Source organism: Homo sapiens, chromosome 2 (assembly GCF_000001405.40).
Source record: "Homo sapiens chromosome 2, GRCh38.p14 Primary Assembly".
Taxonomy (NCBI): Eukaryota; Metazoa; Chordata; class Mammalia; order Primates; family Hominidae; genus Homo; species Homo sapiens.
The window spans coordinates 165299134-165317301 of NC_000002.12; the positions used below are offsets into that span (position 1 = coordinate 165299134).

An 18168-nucleotide genomic window follows, 5' to 3' on the forward strand; every position below is an offset into this window, starting at 1 on the left:
AATCCCCATTTAAAACTCCCTGGAAAAGAGACTCCTGGTGGTAGAGGGTAAGGGCAGTTTAAGAAATTCTGATCAGAGAATATGAGTACTAAGGACACAGTTTGTGCCAGGACCTCTCTAGATATCCAGATACAACTTGAATCTGTGGGCTTGTATTTGCTTCCTGGGGGAAAGAACTCACCCTCCACAGGCTGAAGTCATTGGGAGGCCTGAGGAGATGCAGGTTGAAATGTGAAGCCAGCCAGGCAAATCTATTAAGGTATGCCAAGTTGAGCTGTTGATTCTCTGAGAAGTTTACAGATGGCTTAGAGTCACAAATTTATTCCAATGTAGAAAATTAGATTTTAAAAAGTCTCTAATTTCCTGACTTAAAGTGTTATATTTCAGATGTCTCACCTTGGAGCAGAGATATAACAAAAGGCAGTGAGGCTAATAGTCTAAGATACATGAATCCTTCCATGTTTTGGTGATGCTGGTGCAATTGATCAAATAGCCCAGTAAAGTTAGAGGTATATAGATGCTGTAGTTAGTAACTGATTTTCACAATAATTTTGTCCTTTATTCCTCTTGTTGCAAACCCTAGACTTAAATCCTGATTTTCTGACTTCAAGTACAGTGTCTTTTACTGTAAGTTAAAAATGCTTGGAGAGATGGTCATGGTTGTTTGGCCACAGTTGGGAGGTCATTGTATATTTATTACCACTAGTTTATAAACCAACAAGGAGCCATTCATGTTAAATAAGTTTTTATTTTAAACTTGGACTAATACCTCTATTTCAAACAAAAACCTTGACTTGTTTCTCAAAGAGCTGTTATCTATTAGGAGCTATTGTGTATCAAATTAGCTTTTTTAAAAATTTATTTTGGCTGAATGAGAAATTATGCTTGTGATATTTTTACCAGGGTGCATTCTGAAAACTGAAAATTCTTTTGATGTGCCTAGTGTCTTATTTGATATTTAAATAAAACATGATTTATTTTCTAGATAACAAACAAGTTAAAAATAATCTATGTTCCTAAAGTTCCCTACCAAGCTTTTAAATGTGTTTCCTGTCAGCTTTTATTATTTTAAGTTAATATATGCACACTCCTCTAATTTATTTTGCATTTGTTACTCATTTGTTCATTTGCAAGTACTTACTGAGTATCTACCATGTGGTAGATATTCTTGTAAGCATTGGGATGCAACATTGAACAAAGTGAAGTTCCTACTCTCATGTAGTTACATTCATGTGAGTGTGTGTGTGTGTTTGGAAGAAGAAAGACAATAAACAAATACGTCGATTGGGAGCTAGTGATAAGTGTTACTAAGAAATATAAATTAGTGTCAAAGGGAGGAGTGACAAGGTGTTGTTTTAGATTGTATGGCCAGTAAAATCCTTTCTGAAAAGGTACCAGTTGAGCAGAGATCCGAAGGAAGCAAAAGAGTGAGATATGGGAATCTAGGGATAAAGTCAGTTCAAGGAGAACAGCAAGTATGAAGGTAAAGTCTGAAGGTGGTGGTGCAACTAGTATGTTTAACAATCAGCAAGGAGACCTGAGTGGCTGGAGCAGAGTGGGAAAGGCAGGAAGCGAGAGGATGACATCAGTGGGAGTGAAGGTCAGGGGCTAAAGTTGTAGGCGAGGTGCAGTGGGTCATTGTGAGGACACCACATTTACTCTGAATGAGACTCCAGGAGGGTTTTCAGTAGCAGGATATCATGACTTGACTCACATATTTAAAAGATCACTCTGGCTGCTTCATGGAGAATAGACTGCATAAGGGGAAAGAGTGGAAGCAAGGAGACTGGGACCGATTGTCATTATGAAGGCAAGAGAGCATGGTGGCTTGGAGTATGGTGGAAACAATGAGGATGGTAAAATGTCATCAAATTTTGAGGTATTTTGCAGAAGAGCTGACAGGATTTGCTGAGCAATTGGTTGTGGTGTATAGGAGGAAGGCAGGGACTAAGGATGATTCCAAGCATTTAGTCTGGTCAAGAAAGAAAAATGGAGTTGTGTTGACTGAGCTTGGGGCAACTTGAGCAAACCAATTTGGTGGGTAAGATCAAGATCTTGGTTTTGAACATGTTATGTTTGAGACACCTATTAGACATCATTGGAGGAGTTGAGGAGTTAGGTGGCTGTGCAAATCTGGAGTTCAGAAAAGGGCTGGGCTGGAGGTGTTCAACTTTGGGAGCTGTCAGTGTACAGCTGGTATTTAAAGTCATGACATTGGACTAGGCTGCCAAAGAGCTGAGACCCTCCCTCCAAATCACACTAGTAATGCTGAACTACCTATCATTTGAAAATGGTAGGAAAATGGAAAACATAGGTTTTGGTATCAGAAAACGTAGATTCAAACCCTATCTCTAAAATTTACTTTTTAGCTATATGATCTTAGTCCAAGTTACTCCAATTCTTTCGAATCTCAGTTTCTCTATCTGTAAAATTATAATCACAGCTTAGACATTAATAATGATAAAATGTATGACAAGTATCTAGCACCAGATCCCATGCTAGTACTTAGTAGGTACTCAATAAAGGATATCTATGACAGTAATAGCTAAAATTCTAGCAGCAACTGCTGTAAGATTAGCAAAAAGGAAACTCTCATATTCCTTAAGGAATTGCACAAAGAACTTTATAGAAATCCCTACTCTGACTCTGCAAACAAAATCTTTATATAGCACCAGAGTTTAGACCTGCAACTGACCCAAACAATGTGGTCAGTTCTGTCTCATTTTGTAGATGAGTTCACTGAAACCCAGAGATATTTAGTTTTTTCTAAGGCTACATTTTCTATCAGTGGCAGAGCTAAAACTTCAGACCAGGTTTTTTGATTCTTGGCTCTTTGCATTTTGCATCCAATAGAAAACAAATGATTTTTAAACCCTCGGATTTAATATACTTGGGGCATTGCCAGTGTTCTTGTTTTATGCATTTCAAAGGTGCTTCTTAGTTGCTCCAACTTACTGATTCATTAAATAGTGTCCATACTGAGATATAAAATATCATGGTTTTCCATGAAAAGAAATATACAGGTTTATATGAAAGCAGATGACACAACAATTTCTCTTTCTTTTGTTTTCAATGCTCATATGTTATCATTTAGTTATCTACTGGCAAATAGGAGTTTGTTCATATTAAAATTAAACAATCCAATATTTAACACTGTATATGTGACATTTACTCGATTTTTCTGCTGGCTCAGAAATATGCACTGGTATGCAGAAAAAGACCTATTCTATTCTACTTCAAATTATCCATTTTTACATTAGAAAACCTCTAACATCAGGCTATCTTCTACTTCTAGTTTATATATAGGTTAAAAACTCCTCTGCAACTTCTCTGGATATTATACATTATTACAAAGTCTCTGAACAGAGCATAATGTCTTTTCCTTCCTATAGAATAACAAAGAAATGTCCTATAATTTTATACTCTATAAATGAGTTATTAATGGTAAGAAACCAATAATTATTATCTTAGTGGATAATGACTGTATACTGTAAGAAAAGTATTATCCACATTTATATAAGAAAACTGAGCCTCAAAGAATTAAACAAATTGCTGAAGCCCACATGGCTGGTAAGGGATGTATCTGACCATGGTTCATTGCTCTAAATCTCATGGTGCTTCATCCTCGCTCCACGGAGACAGGGGTGGGTGTGCCAGTGTTATGATGATCCAGGCTCCATGTCAAGGGCTACTTAAACAATTTTCACTAAAAACTTGAAGAAGTGTTTCTTCATAATATACACAAAGGAAATATTTTACATTTGCCAACTCGCAGGTTAGTATCAATCAACAGGTTTACCCACTGTTATGTATACCTGGCATAAAGAAATTAATAGATTAAAAAACATCTTTGTCCCCTGATATTATAAAAGGTTTATCTGCCTCTATTTTATTTTACATTGAAAAGTTCTTAAAGCAATATTGTTCCAGGATACAGTGTTCTTTTGAAAAATGTACTCTATGACTTGGATTACACATTTAAAAAATAATATAGGATGTATGCATTTTGCTACTAGTTTGAGCCTTTTGAAATCTGCTTTGACGTGGGGTTTCTATACTTTTTTGATGCATGGCATCACCAATGCAAAATCCATACCTACATTAAATACTTTTGTATTTGAGTTTTTGTTATTTGAGTTTTTTTTTTTTTTTTTTTTTTTGAGACGGGTTCTCGCTCTGTCGCCCTGGCTGGAGTGCAGCAGCGCAATCTCGGCTCACTGCAAGCTCCGCCTTCCGGGTTCACGCCATTCTCCTGCCTCAGCCTCCGGAGTAGCTGGGACTACAGGCGCCCGCCACCACGCCCGGCTGATTTTTTGTAATTTTAGTAGAGACGGTATTTCACCGTGTTAGCCAGGGTGGTCTCGATCTCCTGACCTCGTGATCCGCCCGCCTCGGCCTCCCAAAGTGCTGGGATTACAGGCGTGAGCCACCGCGCCTGGCCATATTTGAGTATTTTTAAGATCATCTGAAACTATTTCAGTCACTCACCAGAATCCAGGAATTTGTAAAGTATGTGACTGATGAAATAAATTAACAATGATTTAGAAACTTAGTGAATTTTAAGCCTTTCTATTTAGAGATACCTATCAAACCACAAGCGTAAAAACTTGACCCTAGTTATCTACTATTTTTCTATTAAAAGCAAAATTGTTCTTTTTATGTATCAGAAGTTTTAACTTAAGTGTATACTTTTATTAAAATGATAGCCATGAAATAAGGAAAATGCCTGTTTTCGACTTATTATCAGTGACTAATTAGAAAATAATTATTTCTCTTGTTAATGTTGAAATATATATTTTACTTTTTTATATATAACTAAATTATACCACTATAAAGAGTAAGTTTTTAAGTGTCATAAAACCATTGCCGAGTCCATAATGCAGCATAATTGCATAAGGCTGTTAATTTCCACCTTATATTTTTCTTATATTTTTACCCTCAAAAAATGTAGAAACTTGTGTAAACAATATGTATATATATTTTAGACAGAGTCTCACTCTGTCACCCAGGCTGGAGTGCAATGGCGTGATCTTGGCTCACTGCTACCTCTGCCTCCTGGGTTCAAGTGATTCCCCTGCCTTAGCCTCCTGATTAGCTGGGATTACAGGCATCCGTCACGCCTGGCTAATTTTTGTATTTTTAGTAGAGACAGAGTTTCACCATTTTACCCGGGCTGGTCTCAAACTCCTAACCTCAAGTGATCTGCCTGCCTCAGCCTCCTGAAATGCTGAGATTATAGGCGAGAGCCATGGCACCTGGCCAACAATATATTTGAAGACAAACTTTATGCTGTATTTTTAAATAATTTATCAGAAATTGTTTTTAAAAACTCCATTTAGTAACAAATGAATTGCAAAATTAATTTCATTAGTCAACTGACACTGTGAAATAGCAAGGCTATAATGGTGAATAATATAGACATGATTCCTGTCCTCATGACGCTCAGAGAGTAGTTGAGAAGATCATCATTAAAATTTGTCATTAGAGGAATAATATAAGGGCTGCTGGGGTATATAACTGGTAATAGGTCAATCTGAGTACTAAAGAAAAAGAGAGGTGACATTTCCAAGACCCTAAAGTCAGAAACAGCATATAAAACATTCATAACATTTGACAACCTAAAATAATTACAGTATTATCCAAATGGGGATAATGCAATGAAGAGAAAAGAAAATGAAACTGGAGAAGTAGACAGGGATCAGACCTCCTAGCGTCTTGACTCTGTGTTAAGACATTTGATCATCATCCTAAGAGTAATAGAAAGCTACCAAAATGATGCATATTACATTTACAATGGTCGTGTTAGCACAGTATGCAGAATGGATTAAATGGAGCCAAACATGAATTTGGAAACATCAGTTTAGAGGAGACTGCAATAATCTAGATGGACTATTAGATTTGATGCTAGTCTTGACAGACACTTGGACCATGCAGTGATATGGGGATGGAAAAAAGTAACTGAATCCAGAGATAGCAGGCAGAATTGACAATATTTGATGGTTAATTAGATATGAACGTTTAAGGGGAGACAGAAATCTAAGATTTCTCATAGGTCTCTGGCTATATTATGCACATTTTATAAGACACAGAGACGTCAAAGGAGTAAGTAATTAGCAGGAATGGAGGGGTAGATTAAAAGATACTTTTCAAAAGTTCAGTTTTAGAATTCAAAATTTGAAGTGTTGATAAGATATGTAAGTACAGATGTCCTATGGACAATCAAGTATGTGGAATTCAGAAGAGCGGTCTCACTTGGAGAGAAGTATCTGAGAATGGTGGGTATATAATGGTTATGTTTGTTGAGCAATGTTTGTTGATGGACTACACTAGGATGAGGAGAGTAGAAGAGAGGTAGATGGCTTACATACCTTATGTCTTTCTTTTCAAAAAGAAAAATGCCACATTTCAAAGAATACAGAGAAATTGGTGCCCTGAGGCATGAAGAAGCCAGGGAATTGGAACCTCCTGAAAGCAGAGGGAAGATAACTTAATGCTAAGGGGAGGAACCATCCTTGTTGAATGCTGCTTAGAAAGCATGTCAAATATAATCTCAAATTATCCTTTTGTTTTTAGTGACAAAACGTGAAGATGTTGCCATCTTTAGAAAGAAAAGCTGGTAGGCTGAATATATGATAGATATATAAGAAAAGGAAAGATAAGCAGCTCTTTCAAAAAGTTTGGCCATGATATGGAAAAGGGAGATAAGGCTGTAGTAGTTAAGGAGGGTTGTGAGTCATAGGAGAGAAATATCCTTTCCCCTATGCCAGGACAAGGGAGACGTAAGCAAGTTTGTGTTGCTGGGAAAAAGCCAGTAAGGTGGGAGCCATTAAGGATAAGAAAAGAGAGAGATAAGAGATTGCTGAAGTCTTCTGGAATGGGGAAGGTGTCCAGAATACCGGTGGAGGGATTGGAAACCTCCCCACTGTAACAGGAAGGAGGAAAGAATTGGTCTCAATGTGGAAAAGTTTGTTGATTTGGGGGTGGGAAGTGGAGGCGGGGCATTGTGATGCTGTCTCTTCTCTGTAAAGTAGAAAATAAGTTTTCAGCTTGAAATGGAGCCGGAAGAAAGAAGAGGGTTGGAAGCTGGAGGAAAGTGGAGAATATTTGAAATTTTTCTTTGCAGAGAGTGGGAGATGGAGCCTAGTAGGAAAATACAGGACTGTGTTGAGGACCACTGAGGTTTGTGACCATAAATTTAGAATGGTGCCAATCTGCCACGGGGTGTTATTTTTCCCCAATAGGGCTCAGCAGACCAACAAGCACAGGGGACCCTCTAGTTTTATATACCAATAGCAAGTCATTCTTTATTTAATTTAGTTTTTTGTTTGTTATAGCAATAAAGAAAAATTGTGTTTCTTTGAAATGGTATTTTGTGTGTGTGTGTGTGTGTGTGTGTGTGTGTGTGTGTGTGTGTGTGTGTTCTCTAGATTATAGTGCCCTCACGTGGCTGATGCACATCATTTACTTATGAGTGTTTTCATATGGATGAAAAAACTGAGAATTAAGCATGGGCCTTACAGCACAGCTACTAAAATTAAAAAATAATAATTATTATTATTGTTTTGACTAAAACCAGTACTAGATGCAAATGAACTTTCTTTCTAGATCAACACAACATTGTCCAGTTGTAATAGTGTTGATATTTCATTATGTGTAAGTAATGTGATCATTTATAGTAAAAACATTAGGAGTGAGAAAAGATATGAAGAGCACGTATTTCCTCTCTGGAATTTCTATAATTGTGTCCAGATTCACAATGATAAAGAGTGCCACTTTACATAATGGCAACTAAATCTTTATTATGCTTTTTATTAAATATGAAAGTCATTACTATTATCTGATACTGAATATTTTCTTAAATAGTTGTTTTGGTTTTTGTCTTTTGCTGTTTTTTAATGTCAAGGAAAGTGAAGGGCATTGGCTATACCTGCAAAGACAAAGTGGGATAGGGTGAAACCAACCCAATATTTGTAATAAACTGTGTTCTGTATGATCCAGGAAGCAATTCATTGAGCATCTATTACGCACTAGGGCCATTAAGTTGAAGGAGACTTACATATTTTAACAAATTTGATCTTCATAGCAATCCTGTTACATGATTACTTTTTCTTACTTTTATAACCAAGTCAATTGAGATTCAGGGAACTTAATAAGTAATTTTGCCTTAGTTACAAACCCCAGAAATGCCAGTGCTAACACCTGCCATCTTCTCTCATAGTTCAGGATTTTATGAGCAATTACAGTATATTATACCCTCTGTTTAGAAAGGACCTTATTATAAGACATTCCACCAGGGTAACTTTTAGAATGATGTTATAATACATTTAATTAATTACTTGAATTGTCTTGTTGAATTTTTGCCAGGGTTTACATATGTGCTGAACTTGCAGTTTTAATGTTCAGTTGAGTCTGTCGTTAAGAAAATTTAAGTTGATAAATTATTCACTGATGAACTACTTTCTTTGCATTTAATCTTTTTAATTGCTAAAGGTACCTAAATAGCCTCAAAATAGTTGATGGCTTGGCCTGAAGACAAGATCTAAATATGAGGTTGCTGAGTTATAGAAATGGCAAAAAAAAGGGTCAATAATAGAATAATAAGCAACAAAATAATAGTAAGCACTAAAGTTTTAAACTTCATGGTGGTGAAGGCATGGTAGTGCATAAAAGTAAGATTTTTCCATTGAACTTTGTCTTCCTTGACGATATTCTACTTTATTCAATATGCTCATTATGTGCACGATTCTTACCAACTGTGTATTTATGACCATGAGTAACCCTCCAGACTGGACAAAGAATGTGGAGTAAGTATAAATATTTTTCAATATTGACCTCCCTTTATGTTTCATATTGTGCTTTTAACACCTTGAGACCTCCTCAATTTCTTTAACAAATCATGCTAGCTACTGTTAACCAGACCCTGATTCAAATTCATTTCTGTCACTAAATGTCTTCTAGGACAAAGCTTGTAGTGGGCTCACTTAGTTGTGTAAATTACTGCAGTAGTTTGACTGCTATTATCTGCAGCCCTTTATCTTCTTTGTGAGTCTTATGTTCTTTTGAAGATCACCAGTGATTTACTAATATCTACTGATAAAAAGTATACCTAGTTTTTATGTTCCTTTTTTAATGACTACCACAGTTCTGTGTTACTAGTATATGTTTGATGGCTTTTAATGGTGCATATTTTATGAAATACAAATGCTTCACTCATTTTTGTATTAATACCTATTTGCTCAAATCGGACTGAATGCCAGTGTATTTCAGATTATGTCTTCATATAGAGCCACATTATTTGGATCCTTTAAATTAATTAATGTGGAAAATGCAATATACATTTATTTACAGTCAATGAGAATGTCTTTTGGAATTTAATGTTTCTTTTTTGACTTAAGCCCCACCTAAACTCTATATCGTAGGGGGACCAACCTGGAAGTGTCTAATTTTTGTTTGCTGTTTATGTCATCTTTAAGATATGTACTTGTAAATTAACCACTAGATTTTTAATGTGAGCTTGGCTATTTTCTCTCAGGTATACCTTTACAGGAATTTATACTTTTGAATCACTTATTAAAATACTTGCAAGGGGCTTTTGTTTAGAAGATTTCACATTTTTACGGGATCCATGGAATTGGTTGGATTTCACAGTCATTACTTTTGCGTAAGTATCTTAATACATTTTCTATCCTGGAAGAGTAAATCACTGGTGGGAGCCTATACTATATTTTCCTTGGTGGCTTGCCTTGACAGACCAAGCATTTTTCTTAGTAATCATAGTTTTCTTCCAATCAAATTATCCAGTTTGGAGAAATTAGGAACTATCATAGTAAATTACATGGCTTTGGTTTCAATTAGCACTGTAAAGTAATAAAGTTTCCCAAATAACAGAGATTATGATTGATGACAATGCCATTTTCCTCTTAATTGGGAAAGCTGATGGCGACACTCATGAAATTAAAAAGGTCTTGATGAAAGACCAAGGAAGACGTAGATTTCCCTAAATTCTGAATAACTCTGATTTAATTCTACAGGTATGTAACAGAATTTGTAAACCTAGGCAATGTTTCAGCTCTTCGAACTTTCAGAGTCTTGAGAGCTTTGAAAACTATTTCTGTAATTCCAGGTAAGAAGAAAATGGTATAAGGTGGTAGGCCCCTTATATCTCCAACTGTTTCTTGTGTTCTGTCATTGTGTTTGTGTGTGAACCCCCTATTACAGATATGTGACAGAGTTTGTGGACCTGGGCAATGTCTCAGCGTTGAGAACATTCAGAGTTCTCCGAGCATTGAAAACAATTTCAGTCATTCCAGGTGAGAGCTAGGTTAAACACCGAGGCTGACTTTAGCTACAGTGGTGCTACAATCACAGCTTTTGTGCAGAAGCCTTGTTGCTAGTTGCATATTGCAAATAAATATGTAAAAAAGCAAGAATTGGTACATCATTTTTTGGATGGATTTGATTCTTTGCTTTTTACTCGTTGCTTTCTTTAAAACTATTCTAAATCAGCCTTTGAGTTTAACAAGTGTTGCATGAGGCATTTGCAGTAACAGGCTACATGGTTTGCATCCTATAACATCAAGCTTTCCGCATAGAAGCTAGACTAAGAGACATTCAGACTGATGCAAATTTGACAGTTTAGGCCTAAAACTGGCAATCTTTTAAGCTGCAGATAAATGAAAGAGCAAGGGATAGCATGAGTGCTGCATGGGGCTCAGATTTCAGATGTCTTCCTTTTTTTAACCCATACTCAAGCTTGCAGAATTCACAAATATATAACCTCATAATTCATCGACTTCAAGATTTCTTACTACTCTATTCACATAGACTTTTCTAAAACCAATAAGGGGTTAGGGAGTAAGACATCTGCAAATAAAAGCAAAATATTTACACAAGGTTGATGTTTAAGCATGAATAACAAAATCATTCTTTTGCTCTAAAGAGTGTTTGGAAATACACATTTGGTTCATTTCCATTCACAGTTTTCTAATGAACATACAAGTTCTGCTTTCATTCATTTTCACCAGCTAGCAGGCTTTTCATGAAAATGTTATTCAATCACAAACATTAAACTAATATTGTTGGCATTCTGCATGACATTTTTATTTTCCAGGACAAGCTCATGATATTTTTGCCGGTAAAATAGCTGTTGAGTAGTATATTTAAATTCCCCCTTCTGATTTTGTTTGTAGGCCTGAAGACCATTGTGGGGGCCCTGATCCAGTCAGTGAAGAAGCTTTCTGATGTCATGATCTTGACTGTGTTCTGTCTAAGCGTGTTTGCGCTAATAGGATTGCAGTTGTTCATGGGCAACCTACGAAATAAATGTTTGCAATGGCCTCCAGATAATTCTTCCTTTGAAATAAATATCACTTCCTTCTTTAACAATTCATTGGATGGGAATGGTACTACTTTCAATAGGACAGTGAGCATATTTAACTGGGATGAATATATTGAGGATAAAAGTAAGATATACTCTATAAACCATTAAGTTGTTTAGTTCTCTAAATATTAAATATTATATATAATGGAAATTATCTCAATTTAGATGTGAATCAAGTGACTTAGACTAATTTAAGATGATTTAATACATATAAAAGAGATATCAAATGATACCTTATTCTATTTTTCTTATCTGTCCATTGATATAGTAAAAGTTCTCATTTGAAAATGTGTTGTCTTATACTCATGTTGAAAGTAATTTCATATTATGCCATATTAAAAAATGTTTATTTGGTAGACATTAATCAGGTTTTTCAGTCATTTTAATAAATAAGTCAGTAGTTTGAACTATTCAGTGTATTCCACTGAAATGTGTTAAGAAGACTGAGGGGAAATAATTTGGCCCTATTTGGTTGATGCAACATATGTATTGAGTACATATGCTATATCTGAAAATAGAGAAACCATTTATCAAGATGAAATAAGAATTTGTGTGCTCCTCAGAAGGTTAAGTAACCCTGATTTAGCCATTCACTTATTCATATTCTAATTAGTCCCTTTAGTGTCATCATTGTATTGTAGTTACCAGTTTAGTTTGATTATATTTAAGGTATGAACATCAGAATAAGCTTATGCCATATACTTCAGCATGATTTCTTAACATTGAGCCCAGCCCCTCTGTCATTTTTCATATGTGTGTGCATGTTTGTATGTGAATATAAAAATACGTATGTTTGCATGTGTGTGCATGTTTTCTGAGATCATCTTTGCAACTTACTGAAGTTATATGTCATGCCTTAAAAATAAAAACTAGATAGCTCTCCATAGCTTAAAAATAAAAACTAGATATACTCAGACAACATATCTCTCCAAAGAAACAAGTTTATTTTCTTCATTTGAAAGGCAGAAATCAAGCAAAAATTTCAAACAAAACACTTATTTACAGTATCATAAGAGGGAATAAATACCTAATCCCACTTCTCACAGGAAATTAAGTTAAAATTGGCGGGAAAAAATGTCTGAATCTATTTTGAGCCTGGGGAGAAAAGTATATGTAAGGTAAAATTTATTTGCATGAAAACACCTAGAAACAACAAGGCTTTCTTCTTTCTTACTTTTTGTGCCCAGCAATAGACTGGCAGCTCTTTCTTAATGTATCCCATGCAATTTGAGCTTATATTTGCAATGAATGCTGATATAAGAATGTTATCATAGTAATTCCTTCTGAACATTTTTCTTTTTAACATAGATTTGCTAACCATTTGTATAATCAAAAATGTTATATATTGATATTTGTTCAATATTGTGAAAAATCTCTTTAGCCATATATATTTATTAGTTTATCCATCTCATTATGATTGAAAACATTTGTGAGCTTTGCCACCTAAACAGGGTGGCTGAAGTGTTTTACAGGATTTTAATGATTCTTTCTATTCCTTTCTCTTTAAATAGGTCACTTTTATTTTTTAGAGGGGCAAAATGATGCTCTGCTTTGTGGCAACAGCTCAGATGCAGGGTAAGTGATGCTTCCTACTGAGTTTCAGTCCACACTGCTCCATCAGTGTCAATAACCTGCCACCTCCCACTCATCCAGTCCCACTCACTCCTCACTCAAAACCCTCCATAAATTCTACTTCACGGTGACTCTCAGAATAGCCAGGATAAGTGTAGATTCTCACCTCTTTCACACAGTCATTTACTGCAATTATTTTTCTATGCTAGGTCACATCTAATCTTCCAAATTAGTTCAATGTAAAATAGAGAATAAAGCAGTATAATATGCATCTGAAGCTTAATAGAATTCTTAAGCACATACTTTTTATAAGTGTCATATTTTATATATACTAATGTGTTCTCCATAGCTTAAAATGTAAGATCTCTGAAAATAATGTTAATATCTGAGACATGGGGAGTATTTAGCATATTTTAGCAAAGTGGTTACAAACATAAACTGGAGAGTCTGCATAGAGTCAGACTTTGACTCCATCATATAATCTCATTTCTTCTTGCCTTCGTTTCCTTATATGACAAATGGGTATAATAATAGGGTTTTTGTGATGATGAAGTGGATTAATAAATGTATAGCTATTTAGATCGCTCAATAAGTGCTTGTAATTGTTATTATTGGGATCATGCAAATGTTTGCTATTAAGAAACATGGAGCTAAATCCTAGGAAAATTTAAAAACACAGTTAATTTTCTTTATTTAGCAAGATTTTAGAGCCACACACAAAAGTCTAATGCACTTTCTTTGGACGATGATACTGTGGACATTAGTAGCTAATACCTGTAGCAAAATTCCCAGTGATAATAGGCTTTCCATTTGGCTCCTACGATCAGTGCTATGCTGCCTTTATCTTCAGATTCCAATGATAAGTAAATCAATTGATTTTCATTCCTTGTTTGTACTGTACTAAATGCGTTACATACAGTATCTTCTTCAATGTTTGCAAATTTGTGAGACAGGTTCTCTTATTAGCCCATTCTCACATGCGAGGTGCCTGAAGATTAGCAAGTTAAGTAACTTGCCCAAGATCGTTCAGCTCAGAAGTGTCAGGCAAGACATTGAAGCCAGGTCTGCTTGATCTTCAAGGTCCTCCTATGACATTTTTACCACACAGTGTCATTCACTCCTTGCAGCATGCCCCACCTATCCTTTTCTCACTTCTTTACCCTGTTCCCACACTTACACACATTTCTGCCTCAAGACATCCTCAGTGAAAATCAACTTTTTCCTTACAGACTTTTTTAACTGCCCTTAAGTCCCAGAAGATATTAATCATGATATGATTGCTTTTATATGGAGACATAATAAATATAATAATGACAATTATGAATCACAGAGGAATCCACAAAGTAGACCTTATAGATTCTGTTATTATATAAATCAGTCCACTTAGTGCTGAGTTAAGTACTGGGTAAGGTGAGAGAAATCGGCTTTTTTCTAGTGCCTGTATAAAACAGACATTGGCATATATTAAAACAGGAAAACCAATTAGCAGACTTGCCGTTATTGACTTCCTTTCTTTCCTCTAACCTAATTATAGCCAGTGTCCTGAAGGATACATCTGTGTGAAGGCTGGTAGAAACCCCAACTATGGCTACACGAGCTTTGACACCTTTAGTTGGGCCTTTTTGTCCTTATTTCGTCTCATGACTCAAGACTTCTGGGAAAACCTTTATCAACTGGTGAGAACAGATAAAATCATTTTTCTGAGAATCATAAAACACCGAACTCAAGAGAATTGCTGTAGAATATTTTATTACTTAGAGTGTAAGTTTGTAACATCCTATATAAAATTTATTAAAATCTCTCTTCCATTTTGCAGACACTACGTGCTGCTGGGAAAACGTACATGATATTTTTTGTGCTGGTCATTTTCTTGGGCTCATTCTATCTAATAAATTTGATCTTGGCTGTGGTGGCCATGGCCTATGAGGAACAGAATCAGGCCACATTGGAAGAGGCTGAACAGAAGGAAGCTGAATTTCAGCAGATGCTCGAACAGTTGAAAAAGCAACAAGAAGAAGCTCAGGTATAGTGAACAAGCATACGGTCCTTTGTTTTTCTTTATCTAAATTCTTTAACCTAAATGTTGAGGTCAGTGGCAAGGTAGTTGACATTAGAAATAGGTCATATGTGTTTGGTAAGTGCTAGGAGCCTGTTTGGTTATTAAGAAGTTATTACTTTATTGCAATGATCTCTGTCAATAGTGTCAATAGTAATGGCATCAAAAAATGGATAATTATAATTGCTTTACTGACATTTTTTTCTCCCTTGTGACTCCTTGAGGAAATTAATGATTAACAAAGGCCTCATGTACTCAAACTTGCAGAGTAGATAAACCTACATGTCCTCAGTTGAAGTATTTTCTTAGGGGAAGAGGAATTCAGTTACACTTGCTTCTTCATTGCAGTATCACCAGAGGTGGTAAGGGTCAGAAAACCAGAATCAAACTAAGAAAATTATTTCATTGAGTCTGGAAAGGCAAAGGCTTATTCAATATTTGTTCTCTTTTATATAAAGTGTACAAATGCAAGTTTGTGGGTTACATCAGTAAATCACTAGTGTGTAAACATATTAAAACATTAGCACTCTCTGCCTCCTACTCTACAAATCCTTTAATTTGGACTTGACAAGCCTTCAAAATAAGGCAAGAATTTCTCTAATTATATTTGCTTGACTTAATGGCATTAACTAATCCAATTGCCTATTTTTGTCTTTTCATGTATGGTGAATACAATTCCCTTTTATTACCGAGTATTCCTAAATATGTAATAAAGGTCAAAGTATATTGCTGTAATAGCAACAAAACTACTGTTATACTTTACAAGTTCATGCAGATGCCATGATCTAGGATTCTCAAATAAACACTCTGTATTATGTCTTTGCTGTGCATTTCTTAGTGAAATACCCAATTTAAATCACGGAGAAAAATGTCATTAAAATAAAATACTTGACTGAATTACATTTAATAATTCAGACTAGCACTAAATTTCTTTATTGTGTGAAAATGGAATCAAAGGCAAATGTCTACCAGGTTTAAATAGGAAGTCTTTAATTCCCATATTATTTCCTTCTTAAAATATTGTTTGAATTATAGAACATGTTATTATGATCTTTAAGTGTCTTGCTCATATTATTAGATAATTAGATATCATAGTGTGAGGACAGAGCTTGAAGGTTCTCATAAAAGTCGTATGTATCATCTTCCATATGAATGCCCATTTTACTCTTTGATTGGTCTAATAACAATGTACTGTTTTCTAAAACACAGAATAAAATGGAGAATTGTTTTTCAAGATTATCTTCATGATATTGAAGCTCAATTAAGCAGTAACATGATAATTACTTTTTAAGTTTATATGCAACTTCCACATACTTTGCGCCCTTCTAGGCGGCAGCTGCAGCCGCATCTGCTGAATCAAGAGACTTCAGTGGTGCTGGTGGGATAGGAGTTTTTTCAGAGAGTTCTTCAGTAGCATCTAAGTTGAGCTCCAAAAGTGAAAAAGAGCTGAAAAACAGAAGAAAGAAAAAGAAACAGAAAGAACAGTCTGGAGAAGAAGAGAAAAATGACAGAGTCCGAAAATCGGAATCTGAAGACAGCATAAGAAGAAAAGGTTTCCGTTTTTCCTTGGAAGGAAGTAGGCTGACATATGAAAAGAGATTTTCTTCTCCACACCAGGTAAAAATATTAAATTACATGAATTGTGTTCTCATAAATTTTTTAAAAAAATATGCCAGAATTTAATGGAGAGAAAACCGCCTTCCACCTGGATGGCACAATGCTTTCAGAGTAGTGATGATTATCAAGTGTTTTGGCTATCACTTCAGAGAATTTGTGAGTTTTGCAACTTTTTGGAATCCCAGGAAGGAAATTTTAGATCCCTCTGGGTTTGGAAAAATTTGCGGTTTTGAGGTTTTCTTAAAGACTGAAAAATCTTGGAGAAATTTTCCACATCAGGAATTATCAGCAGATGGTTCCCATCTCTTCTTAACTATTGTGCGTGGATCTAGTGAACTTTGGGTTTTCTGAGTGACAAATTCCCAGAAGTGGACCAGAGACTCTTTTAGGCCACCTGCGGGGTTGTTCCCATAAGGTGCAAACATCACTTGCCAAGTGCATTCTTCATGCCTTTGTTTCAAAGGGGACTGAAACAAAATATCTCTAAAAGTAGCCAAAACTCTCAGATAGGCAGGTACTGAGGGAGATTTATGACACGAAATAAAAAGTGGTGTTTAGTTGTACTTGATTATCTGTGTTTCATGTTAAACATGGGACTTGCATTTGAAGAATACTGTGATTTATAAACTGCAACAAATATTCACTGGATGCCTCTGCCTTTTGTACTCATGCAAGTTGTTGAAATTTTAAAATTTAGAATCTTAATTGTCTTTGAAATTACCAAGAGAATTCACAGGAATACACAGTACCTCAGAAGACATTTTCACCAGGAGTGAAACCTTAATACCTATACAGTAACAATAACAATTACAACAACAACATTGATAATGGCTAATATTTATACACTGTGTTGTTATTTGCAATATTAATGCATTAAGCCTTTCACTGCAACCCTAGGTAAGTTCTAATTTAGTTAATATCCCCAATTTTTATATGTGAAGAGAAGCAGGGGGCTGCATTCTTTGTTGAGTACCTATTTTATGCTTGGCATTCTTTCTACATTCTCATAATTAATGCTAACAGTTCTGTAGAATAGTATTATTTTCATTACTATAATGAAAAAGCTATTTTGGATCAGTAAAGTTAAATAGTTGCACAATGTCATATAGCAATAGAAAAAGTTATTATGATCTTTGAGTGTCTTGTTCATATTAGGGTTGTTGGTATTCAAATTTTGCCTGGTACTGAAAACCTTAAAGTTTCCACTTTATCAAGTTGCCTATGAAGAATGCCTTTAAAAACTGATAAGGAAATTTACAATATAACTTTATTTAAAATACACAATGGCATTATACTTTCTCTTTTACCTTTTTATAATATAGACAAGCTCACATAACCTCACATGTGATATATATAAATTTTTTTAGGTCAGCCTTATTCATTTCAAATCCAAATAACATCATAAGATTGCATACTTGGGGATTAATTCAAATTTAACATAGGATCTTTAAATATCAAAATTTACTTGGTCTCTTTCATTTTGTTGTCACAATCATGATTCCATTAGTAGAAACATTAATCAATAAATAGGAATCCTTTAAAA

At 35.1% G+C, this 18168-nt stretch overlaps 1 protein-coding gene across 5 annotated transcripts in view; it reads left to right on the forward strand.

Moving 5' to 3' along the window:
* The window catches only part of SCN2A (sodium voltage-gated channel alpha subunit 2), a 152891-nt gene that overhangs the window by 59720 nt on the left and 75003 nt on the right, over positions 1–18168 (forward strand). For 3 of the 5 annotated variants that reach the window (NM_001040142.2, NM_001371247.1, NM_021007.3), the window contains exons 4-11: positions 8715–8804; positions 9533–9661; positions 10219–10310; positions 11190–11462; positions 12892–12955; positions 14487–14628; positions 14769–14975; positions 16338–16625. In NM_001040142.2, coding sequence (NP_001035232.1) covers positions 8715–8804; positions 9533–9661; positions 10219–10310; positions 11190–11462; positions 12892–12955; positions 14487–14628; positions 14769–14975; positions 16338–16625 — 1285 coding nt within the window. Of the gene's footprint in view, positions 1–8714; positions 8805–9532; positions 9662–10031; positions 10124–10218; positions 10311–11189; positions 11463–12891; positions 12956–14486; positions 14629–14768; positions 14976–16337; positions 16626–18168 lie in introns of all 5 variants that reach the window. The other 2 variants (NM_001040143.2, NM_001371246.1) reach the window with 1 other exon arrangement.